The sequence below is a fragment of the Homo sapiens genome, chromosome 7 (assembly GCF_000001405.40).
Source record: "Homo sapiens chromosome 7, GRCh38.p14 Primary Assembly".
Classification (NCBI taxonomy): domain Eukaryota; kingdom Metazoa; phylum Chordata; class Mammalia; order Primates; family Hominidae; genus Homo; species Homo sapiens.
The window spans coordinates 156,485,656-156,498,086 of NC_000007.14; the positions used below are offsets into that span (position 1 = coordinate 156,485,656).

The 12,431-nt window shown below is 43.9% G+C and overlaps 1 long non-coding RNA gene across 2 annotated transcripts in view, besides 1 other annotated feature; it reads right to left on the bottom strand.

The window, feature by feature from the left end:
• Positions 1–12,431, bottom strand: part of RNF32-DT (RNF32 divergent transcript) — a 168,437-nt gene that overhangs the window by 13,557 nt on the left and 142,449 nt on the right. The gene's annotated exons all lie outside the window — the stretch shown is intronic.
• Positions 6,003–6,529: an enhancer, noted in NCBI's record as "H3K27ac-H3K4me1 hESC enhancer chr7:156284352-156284878 (GRCh37/hg19 assembly coordinates)". NCBI's record gives its function as "activates a minimal SCP1, AML or CMV promoter by ChIP-STARR-seq in naive H9 embryonic stem cells {active_cell/tissue: H9 hESC(naive)}" and the evidence as "EXISTENCE:reporter gene assay evidence [ECO:0000049][PMID:30033119]".

The window sequence follows — 12,431 nt, forward strand, 5'->3', positions numbered from 1 at the left end:
CTGATTTAATTGCACTGGGGTGAAACCTAGGCTTTGAAATTTAAAGAAAAATCCCAAATGATGCTCACATGCAGCCCAACTTGAGAATCACTGAATGGTCCAAAGACAGGAAGCAAACAGAGGTGGGACATATAACAGGATGGCCCGCCCATGTCAATCAAACAAGGAAGGAGACACAGGCCAAGCCAACTCAAAGCATCCCCTTCCTATCCTGCAGAAGTGCAAGAGGAAGAGAGGCCTCAGTTCCACGGAGCACTCAGTTCCAGTCCGGTAACCAGGTCATGATCTTGCCATTTCTTTTCTTCAAGCAGGTTTTCCCACTGCAAAGGATGCAAATATATTACCAATCCATCCAAAATATATAGGTCTGATTGTCTGATAGCTCTTTTAAATTTTCTTTTAACTGACTAAAGTATGTGAAAACTGTGCCTCACGCTGATAATTTTCCAGCTTGGGTCGATAATTTTCAGGCAGGGTCGAGGTCACTGGCTCCCAACCCACACACGTGGGCAGTTGTTTCAGCCCCGGGTGGGATTCAAATCCCAGCTTTGAAAATTATCAGCTATGTGCCCTGAGACAACTCCATGACCTGAGTGTTTCGCATGCGGATAAAATGAAGACCCTACTATCTGCTGCACGGAGCTGGTGTGGGGGACCCGGCAGGCATTCTCTTACGGCTGCATATCCATCGGTGCCACATTTTGATGGTCTGGAGGGAAAGCCCAGACAACATCATGGATAGAATACAGAGGCTACAATACAGAGATGCTGTAATTGTCTGATTAATTTCAACCAGCATTTTAAACGCAGGGTCTCTACTGTGCTTATAGGAAGAAAAAGATTCATGAAATCAAAGTGTCCCTTTATCCAGAATACTCATTCAGAAAGCCTAAAAGTGAGGCTCATGCCGCTGGCCAGCCACCCACCCTTCCAGCCCCAGCTGTGTGCAGACCCATGCTCTGCGGAGGACATTGCCCCCACCCCCTTCTCCCCTCCACCCTGCTTCACTGAGTTGGGTGTCTTTGTGCCTCGAACGCTGAGATATTGAGCAGGGAAAGTGAATGGGTGCTTTTACAAATATGCATTGATTTTGTAATCAGAGAAAATTAATAATACATATTTTTAAAAGAAAAACTCAGTGGTCTAGAGTATAGGCATGCTCATGAAATACTGACGGAAGTGCAGATGGGTCAAAACATTCTGACGGAAATTTAAATTTTTTCTGGCCAGGTGTGGTGGCTTACGCCTGTAATCTCAGCACTTTGGGAGGCAGAAGCAGGTGAATCACTTGAGGCCAGGAGTTCAAGACCAGCCTGGCCAACATGGCAAAACCCCGTCTCTGCTAAAAATGCAAAACTTAGCCAGACATGGTGGCATATGCCTGTAATCTCAGCTACTTGGGAGGCTGAGGCAAGAGAATTGCTCGAACCCGGGAGGCAGAGCTTACTGTAAGCCGATATCACACCACTGTACTCTAACCTGGTAGACAGAGTGGGACTCCGTCTCAAAAAAAGAAAAGGAAATTTAAACTTTTTCCAAATAAGCATTTTGGTTAGACCTACCCTTTGACACTGCAATTTCACATCTAAGAATCTGTTTTCAGGAGATAATTTAGGATGTATGCAAAGATTGAGCCACAAGACTGCTTATCTCAGCATTGGTTTTCATAGAAAAAATAAAAAATTTGATATTCAACAATAGGGAATTGTTGGGAGAAATTATGATCTAGTCATGGGAGAAATAAACACTGGGTATTAAAAATTACATCTGAATGCTCAAGTAGTGCTCTTAATTCTCTTCTTAAAATTTCTGAATCTCCTGAAAATTTTCCATAGGTATGTTTATCATCAAAATAAACTCTACAGTGTTGTGGAAAAATAGTTTTTAACATAGAAAGATGCTAATAATATATTATTAAGCAACATTTACAAAAAAGAATTTGTAGTCTGTAAATTTATGTAAATATATGTGCCTATGTACACACATATATTTATATGTTATAGTAATAATTAGATGAAAGACAGAAGCCCAGAAGTTCATTTATTACATCAGAATGTCAATGTATCTGTCTCTTAATAGCTGAGTTGTGGGCAGATTTTATTACCTCTTATTTGCTTATCTATATTTTCTACCAAGAGCACATGCTATTAATAATTAAGTACTAATTTTTTTGAATAATGAGTTATTTTAAGTAAGTATTTATGGAATATCTCAGGCCTTGTTGCAAATATGATGAAAATGACACTCTTCGTGAAAAGCAAAAGCTAACAGATGATATTCACAGAGAAACACACAAGTGGCTGTAAACGCAGGATGTGGTGCTGTGGGAGGAGCCAAGGGCCCAGGGAAGGGGATGGGACAGTGCAGGGTCCTGAGGAAGCGTGGGCTCAGTGGGGAGCACGTGGGCGAGGGGTCTTCTCATGAGAGAACAGCGCCTGTGCAGAGAAGCACCGTAGCCGGCCCCTGCCTGAACACAGCCCCTAACAGCCCCTCTCTGCTGCAGAATCCAGGAGGACTCCGCCTGAGCACCTCCCGATCTTCCCCACCACTCAGCCTCAGCCTCCCCACAAGGCCTTCCCCGCCCCAGGCAGGCAAGCCCCTACACGCTGCCACACCACACCCTCTGCTTCTCCATGATGATAGCAACCACACTGCAACTTAATTACTTGACTATAGGTTCAGGAGGGCAAGGGCTGCCACACCACACTCTCTGCTTCTCTATGACAATAGCAACCATGTTTCACCTTCATTACTTGACTCAAGGTTCAGAGGGCAAGGGCTACCTAAGTTTTGTTTGCAGCCACATCCCTCCCACCTACAAGGGTGTCTGGCACACAGTAGAGACTCAGCACACATTCTTTGAATAAAAATGAATGATGTGCCTGTTAATTGTCCACTAGGCAAATCAACAAGGCTGTCACAAGAATAAAGCTTCACAGGATAAAAGCTTGCAAAAGCTAACAGCTATGGGCTTTTTGGATTTAATTTACACACTCCTTTTCACAGGCACCAACGACTTATGTGAGTGGCTCAGTTTTCTTCTCTAGTTATATCTGGTTAACTGAAATCATGCACGGGCCATGAAAATATACAACGAGCCTCTCTCTCTCTTGCAGTAGGTTGTCTGAAAGTGGGGCTCATAGGAAAAGGCAGAAATCCTTCCCTGACTCTTAAGTAACCTCCCTGCCATTTACTATCAGGGATTGAAATCCAAACATGAGTCATTTATTTAAATTTAAGGCCTATGCTAAAATTCAAATATATTTTCAGAGAGGTGATTAGCAATATTACACCATAATCAACCATCAACATTTGTAACTAATGGGTTCTCTTTCACTTACAGTCTATCCAAATGGGATTTCAGATGGCTTACAACAATATAGACATAATATGACCAAAATTAACCAACACTGAGAAAAAAAAAGGAAGTAAAGACTGACCGTAGGGGTAAGGAAGGTCACTATGTCTTTCTACCTACATGGGTGGGTGGGTGGGTGGATGGATGGAAGGATGGAGGGATGGATGGATGGACAGATAGATGAGATAGATAGATGGATAGATAGATAGATAGATAGATAGATAGATAGATAGATAGATAGATAGACAGACAGACAGACCGACAGACAGACAGATAGATGCATGGATGGATGGATGGACAGATTAGATAGATAGATAAGATAGATAGATAGACAGACAGACAGATAGATGCATGGATGGATGGATGGACAGATTAGATAGATAGATAGATAGATAGATAGATAGATAGATAGACAGACAGACAGACAGACAGACAGACAGACAGATAGATGCATGGATGGATGGATGGACAGATTAGATAGATAGATAGATAGATAGATAGATAGATAGATAGATAGATAGATAGATAGATAGAAAATCAATAGAGGAGATGGATGGATGGATGGATGGATGGATGGATGGATGGATGGATGCATGCATGGATGGACAGACAGATGGATAGGATAGATAGATAGATAGATAGATAGATAGATAGATAGATAGATAGATAGATGGATGTTGCAGAAATTAAATGCAAAACTTTGCTCTGAATAAGCTCCCCGGCAGTCAGGCTAGAGTTACTTTGTCCATATTTGGAGGAAATACACAGCTAATGTGAAGCTGGGGTTCTTCTTGGTCATGAGCTATCAGAGGGACACTGAGCAAAGGAATTCTGAACAATACCGTCAATGGAAGTTTTATTAAAATGCAAATTTAAGTTACATATGGCTGTTTCTTTTATTGGCCTTCTGGGCATAATGTAAAAGCATAATTATGCACAGTTACTTCTCCAGGGTCAGAATGATACAGTGCAGGTCACGGAGCCTTATCTATCTTGAAAAATAGAGATATCAATGGGGAATGATATAAATTATTAGCACTTCCCTTAAGTATCTTTTATACATCCTCATTTCAGTCAAGCCTTCCATAAGAGTTACAGGGAAGGCTGTTCAAAATGAGAGATTTTTCAGCCACGTAGATGGCAAAGATTATTTCACTGGCACAGGAACCTGGCTTGTGTCCTTGCCAAAGTGGAGGGCAGCACCTTTCTGCAGGGAGGTGAGAAGCCCGAGAAACCCTAGGCAGGCTCAGTGTTTGTGGCTTCATAGTGATTTCTTGGAGCTAAAGTTCTCTACCAAAGAAGTATGACCTAGTTAATCTGTGTTATGGGTGATATCGCCAAGTTCCCACCTACAGAACTTTCGTGCGCGTCTTGTATTATATGTGCCAGTAGATTGCATACAAAATGAACAGCTGAATAAGTAAACTTATTTAATAGAATTATTTCATAATATCCATCTAAATGCCAAAGGAAAATCACCAGCAATGATTATTTCTGTTTGGACATAATCCCAATCCACACGACATTCTTGCCCATAATTTGCTAAATCAAGGGCTCTTGGACACCACTCCAGAAAGCATGGATGCAGGACTGGGATCACCAGCCAGCCGTGAAAGCACTCAGTTCATCTGAACTGTGTAGAAATGTGAAAGTATGCATTAGAAGTAAAAGGAGTTAAGTCTCAATGTTGGTTTACACCATTTGATGTAGAAATTTGATGAATTAGAAAATCATTTTTGCCCTCCTGATTCTCATGATGGCATTAGGATAAAATGTCTAAAAAACCATTTAAAAGCTTAAATCAATATTAAGATCATTCGAATTGCCCAATTAATAATTTCTGTCAATCGAGTCAAAGGTTGATGGTAGATACTAAATTCTATGAAATGTCTTGAAAGATTCTTGACACGCGCTTTCTATTATTAAAGCAATTGGTGTTTTGCAATTAGAGCTCGGAATTAGGAAGGAGCAGCAACGGAAGAGAAAGTGATCCGGGATATGTCTTAAAGGACAGATGAGCCCAGGTAGCCACCACAATTTGGGACCCTGGGTATGCTGGTGCCACTTGGCAAGGGACATCTGACGCATGTCAAGTTAGCAGAATGGTTCTCTCAAAACCGTACTTGGCTACTGAGGGGGAGTTGGGGGATGCGGGGACTGCTTCCCCTCACCACTCTCCACCACCCTCAAAGGAAGCATCGATCTCCCAATCCTCCTCCGCACAGCGGGTGAAAATCTGCAATAAAGCGGCGTCTCAGAGCGGGTTTCACCTGTTAATTTTTCAACAGGCTCAGCCTGGCTGACCTGCACCTCGCAGGTCATGGGGTTCTCATCTATTCTTTGAGTCTGGTTTTAACACCCTCACCAAACTTAAACAGCTAGCTGGAAAAATCTGACTCTGGCCAAGATTAATAAGAGGAGTATCTCCTTTTGAGATTATAATGGATTTTCATATGCAGAATTTTTTTAATATTCTACTAGGTACATGACACGGTTTTAAATTCATATTGAACTGAAGCAGGATGCCTTCCTAGATAATGGTTACCGGCTGCATTTTTAAATAGCAACTTTCAGGGTGTAACTTTTCCATTAATCACACGGGCACACACTTAAAAACGCTTACTCATCATACACCAATTACACAGTTGCCACCAAAAAAGTGTTTTTTTCTAAACTTTAGAAATTAGAAAATCTTGAATGTTGCTCTAATACAGAATTTGGGTCTAAAATAGTATAAAATGTTTTCTCCCCAAGCCAAACTTTCATAATTACACTTCAATCACGTTCTTGGGTAATTATCAATGATGGTCCTAAAAAAAAACATAAACTGACAAGGCAAATTAGTGCTGGTGAGATTCTGTCAAGAGTGTAATCATCTACCCGTCTCCATCCCCGCTTCCTTCCTGGGTGAGCCCACCCGATCCCACTACTTGGCTTAAAGCAACCTCCTTCCTGCAACCTTCCCTATCTCAGCTCGCCGCCCAGATCCAAGGGACAGAGGCAGGCCCTTCCCCTCAGCAGGACAGACATGCTAGCCTCACCCCAGACTTCAGCGTGCAAGGCCACCTCTGCTTGCACCTGACCTGCTGTGCCCCGGCCTTCCCGCTCATGCCTCCTTGGTGTCCCTAAGCCTCTCTGCTCCCCACCTTTGCACAGCTCACTCCTTCTGCCTGCTCTGACCTCCGTTCAACTGGCACCTCTTCTGTGAGTTCTTCCCTAGCCCCCATCTGAACCAGCCCCTGGCTGTCTCTCCCCAGCACACCTTTTGCTCCTTCACAGCCCTGCTCACTGTCCCCACTGCCAACCCACTGTTCACTTGCCTGGGCTTTGTGTCCCCAGCAGGACGCAGGCTCCGTGAGAGCCGGGCCAGTGGGACTGCTCATCCCAGAAGCCCCCGCCGGAGAGCACCTTCAGGGCGGACCCCCAGCAGTGTGTCAAGTGGGTGCATGTGTGCGGATGGGTGCAGGGGCTGTGGTATTGAGGAAGACATGGTGTGGTTAGATAGCAAATGCCCACAGCCTGGACAATGCGATTCCCACCTGAGACACCATTGCCTAAGGGGCCCAGAGGCTTGGCTTTGATGAACAGGGGTTTGTACGGACAACAGGGACTGCAGGAATACAAGAGGGTGGCCTTGACATTCCCTATTGTTCCAAGAACCATCCAGCTCAGGGCCTTTGTGCCCCCGACCCTTCTGGAATGTTCTTCCTTACACAGCACTACATGATACAGAGAAACGCAAGCTTGCACTCACACGGCTTCCACATCAGCCAGGGCTGAGTACTCTCATGAGGATTCCTGGCTTCCCCGTGATTTACCGCAGATTCCCTCTAAGCCCAAAATCCCCACGTGCACGAAGAGCTTTTCCTTCCTTTCCATCTTCACATGCACTCCTTTCCAGGGCACAGCTCTGCTCCAAAGGAAAACATGCCTTTCCCACCGCCCCCCAAGCTTTAGTGAGGTATGCTTCACAAATAAAAACTGTACACATCTAAGATGTACAATTAGTGAGGTATGCTTCACAAATAAAAACTGTACATATCTAAGATGTACAATGTGATGTATTGGTGTGTATGTTCATATATAGTGAAATGATAATAAAAATTACAGTGATGTCAAAATTAATTTCCAAAATGCATATTGTGTGTCACTGCACTATAATTAGGATGTTACCACTGTCCATTTGATCTGCTAAACTGTAGAATCTCTGAAGACAGAACTGTAATCTTACAGATATTCTATAATCAGAAAAAATTATATCAAATATCCAGTTTGGGCCATTTCCTGGGACAGTATTCGATGATTAACTTGAGCCTGAGGAGACTATATAAAATCTTAACATTAGGGGCAACTGAAAAGAAAGGTTGAGATGGCTAAATTTTTTTCTTTTCCTGGGAAAATGCCCCATGTCAACTCCATATTCACTACATTACAGTTAATAATAATTTCATATTTTAAATCACTGATTCCATCAAATTTAACATGTATTTGATGATTACCTATTATGGGTTCAACATTGGACTGGACATTTAAAAAGTACAAGATACATTTACAATATGTAGTTCCAGCCCTCAAATAGTTATAAAAGTTCCAGCCCTCAAATAGTTATAAATCTGCCTGGGAAGGTAATTTGTTTACACTTGAACATTCCGGTTACATTTAAAAAAATCTATATGGACAATAATGTATACTGAAGGAGAACGACAGATGTTTCCTGAACACACCAGGCACACTCTTACTTCAGAGGCTTTGCACTCATTATTCCTTCTAGAATGTTCTTTCCTTAGGCTACCTCCAAAGCTCCCTCACTCACTCAAGTGAGGGTCTCTGCTGGAGCGTCCTGTACCAGTGGGCCCTCCCTGACCACAGTGGATGGCAACCTTCTACCTGTTTCCCCTCTCTCCCTACCCTACACTCATTCTTCACAGCACTTGTCAGTCCTAACTTATATTATTTATCTATTTTATTAGTATTTTCTGCCTTCCTCCTTCCCATGAAAGCAGGGACTTGCTCTGTTTTGCTCATTCCTCTGTTTCTAACATCTGGAGGGTGGCCAGCTCATCACAGACATTCAATAAATATTTCTTAAATCAATGTCTAAGGGATGAATCACACAATGCATGGTATTGCCCAGTCGGATGTCACGTGAATCAAGACATTTTTCAGGAAGGATTACAACTACCATGCAAATTGCAAGCTCCCTGGGAGGCATAAGCCCTCTCTCCCAGCATCCCATCAGCATTGCAAGGTGTGCCACCAAACTCCACCGCGACTTGCTGATGTGCACGTGTATTTCAAATCAATACCGGGTTTACGTGTATACAAACACACAGCCAGCTAAACACCTTCTAAACTCGGAACATTAATACCTAGACAGGTGCCGATTTCAGATGTTCACACAATTGAAGCAAATGAATTCCATCTCTATCTGAGCCACATTTTCTAAAGACAAACTTCTTCTTCAGCATGGATTATAAAGAAGAACAAAAACAATTACTCAGCCATCTAACATGCCTCATGTTAGTCAACCACGATGTGAATAGAAATGCCCAGGTCATGTTAAGGTTTGTTTCATTTGTTGTGTTTGTGTGTTTATTGCATTCCCAGGTCATGTATTGCATTCCCAGATTAAGGCTGGAATACCTTGCACGTGTAATCTTCATCCAACAAAATAAAATGCAGACACGCACCCTCCCAGAAAATCCTCCAGTGGCAGCGGCATGTGAGAGCCAATGGAAGGCCAGGCCCAGGGCCCATGCGAGGATCGGGAAATTGTGAAAAGAGTGGAAGGAGTAGGGACTTTGAAATCAGACCAGGGTGAGGAACGGCCTCCCTCCCTTTCGGACTTTCCAGCTGCTGGACATCTCCGAGCCTAGCCTGTCACTCTCAGAACATCTCAAATTCATCATCTTCCCACCCCACTTAGCAGCTGGTAGCCACTGCCCTGTGTTTCATGATGTGAAACACACAAGTGCTACCTCCACACCTAGCATGTACACCATCCTGTATCAGAGATGGCCACACCTTGTATTTCCTAGAGCAGGGGTGCCCAGCTCCCCCACGATACCTGTCCATGGCCTGTTAGGAGCTGGGCCACACAGCAGGAGGTGAGCAGTGGGCCAGTGAGCAAAGCTTCCTCTGTATTGACAGCCGCTCCCCATAACCCGCATTACCGCCTGGGCTCCGCCTCCTGTCAGATCAGCAATGGTATTAGATTCCCATAGGTGCACAAACCCTACTGTGAACTGTGCATGAGAGGATCATGTTACTGTAATGCCTGATGATCTGTCACTGTCTCTCATAACCCCCAGATGAAACCATCTAGTTGCAGGAAAACAAGCTCAGGACTCCCACTGATTCTACATTATGATGGATTTTATAATTATTTCATTCTATATTACAATATAATAATAATAATAGAAATAAAGTGAACAATAAATGTAATGCGCTTGAATCACCTCAAAACTATCCCCACTCCCTGTCCATGGAAAAATTGTCTTCCACGAAACTGGTCTCTGGTGCCACAGAGGTTGGGGACTGCTGTCCTAGAGGCTTTCAGGACCAAGTGCACAGTGTAACTGGTGTTTGTGTCTCACAGCCAGGTGGGCACAGCCTGCAGCATCCACGTTCTATAGACTCAGAATCAAAAGCACTTATTAGGTACCCCAGCATCAACAAACACCACCCACTGGCACCCAGATGTCCTCAACGTACTCTTTGTCCACCTGAGCAGATTTATCTTCATGACACGGTAGAATCTTTAGCTAAATACTAACAAGTGAAAACTTTTGTCACTCTGGTTAAACATTAAAATAATCCTGCTGCGACATGAAGATGCTCATTTCAAAACAAAACAATGGGAAGTGTTTTAGAAAGCATTCTCTTCACGGGGATGGAGGGAAGGCAGTAAAAGGAACCCCATGTCAAAGGAACCCACAAACCAACCTAAGGAACAGACCAAATGTAGATGGGAGATGAAGAAAGCATTGTGTGTGTCAGTTTCCATCCGTCTGTCTCCCCGCAGCCCCCACCTCCTGTCCTGGAGAGTTGTACAGAAAGGGCACATCACACCCACCCACTGGAAAATGGACAATTGTTGTGTCCAATTTCACTGTCATCCCAGAATGGAAACCCTGAGCTGAGGAGAGCTGTCAGGTAGGAAGGACAACGTTCTCTCCACCGCTTTGATGTAAACCAAACTCTGGGTGCTGCCAAGGTTTGACTAATTCTTCCTTATTCCAGGCTTACCTTGTTGCCTAATTTTTTTCATATAATTCTGCAAAGCTTTAAAACTGGGTTTAGAAACTACAAGGGCAGGAAAATGCACCCATGATATGCTTTACATGATATAAAAATCCCCATGCCCTGTCCTCTCCCAGCCCCACTGTAGAAAGCAAGTTTTATTAACACGAGGCAAGTGCTCAGTTTTCAAGAGGACTCTGAGCATTAAAGCAGATTGTTTTATGTCTCTGACATGAATACTCCGGGTGGATGAACTATCAAGGCCCAGGTTTAAGTGTGATTAATGCCTAGTACTTGGAAACCATCCAAACTTATTAAATCTGATGGAGTAAAACAGCATAACTTTCTCATATTATTTCCAGGAGATGTGATTAGGCTGAACGTGGTAGTGAATGGAACTGCAGGAATAAGCCACGGTAGCGGGGAGGGGGAGCTCTATTTACAAAGAATTAAAACAGAGTGGAGCGTTTTAGCAAGTACGGGCAGAGTTCGATCACCTCAACCCAAGAAGAGGGGTGAGGACTGAAAACAAAGTCAACACAACCTTCCTGTATATTCCATGACTTTGTCCACACACTACCAAGAGTAAGAGTTGACTTATTGGAAGAAAAAGAAAAAGAAAGTATTTGATAAATGTTCCCTTTCGCCCACCCCAAAATGAATATATCAGTACACACGTGTACTTACACACACACACACACACACACACACACACACCCCTGTCATTTTATGTTCTGGTATGTAACAGAAGCATCAGAGATATATTCAACGCTCCCCTTTCCACACAGAAAACAGGAGCCGTACAATCTTACAGTCCAGTCTGTCTACAGATCCAGGCAAGCGTGTCTGAAATTGATTACTGGTAGATGTTGCAGCTTAGGGGCAGTGCACGTTTGTCTTTCTAAGGTGTGGTGTGCTTCTCCAAGGCCAGTAGCTTCCAAGCACAATACCTGTACTTCGTTAATTCCTTCGGTTCTGCTTTGGACAAAATAACATTCCAAAGAAATGAACAAGAAAACTACACAGGGATGAATGAGCAGCCAACGTCCAACAAAGAGGAACTTGCCGAGCACCTCCACGGACCAGGAGGCAGCTGGGTGCTGAGAGGCTGAGCCTGGGTGGGTACGGCCTCACTTTGGGTCAAATGCTCTACGGGAAGATGTGGGGAGCGCAGCAGTCAATCCTCCGGGGACCACATCCCTCAGCCCAGTGCAGACGCGGCTGCATTAACACTGGACATCTAGACACTTGGACACTTGCATTTAGGGCTCTTATTGAAGAAACAGAAACATAACAAAAGTATTTGTAATCTTAAAATCTGTCCATTATGGTCCCAAGGCAAATCTGGGCCGTGGAGAGGAGAGAGAAGGTGACCCCCACCACCCCCCCGCCACCAGTCTCTGCACTGATAGAAGAATAACAAATATAAAAAAATCTGCCAAACAACAAAGCTTCAATTTATTATACATGCTCATCAATTTAACCCAAAAAAAAAAAAAAACCCTTAAAAGCCTGAGGGTGATCCAGCCCCTTTAATACCCAGGCCCTGAGCATGCCGCAGATCAAGGCCCAGGCCCCAGCCTGCTTTGTCTGCGAAAGATGAAAGCCAGGCGCAAACAGGTGAAGGCTTTTTTGAATCATCACCTGCAATTAAGCAAAGGAAAACCAAGAGAAGCAGAGGTGAGCTGAACTCGCTTGAAAAAGGCGCCCGCGGAGCAGGTGGATGCTTGCTGCCGATGGCTGCGGTGTCTGCTGACACTCCCAGATGACGAGCCCTCCCCGGGCTCCCTGCATGCACGGCAGATTGCCCGGTGGGAAGGGGGGTGCACAG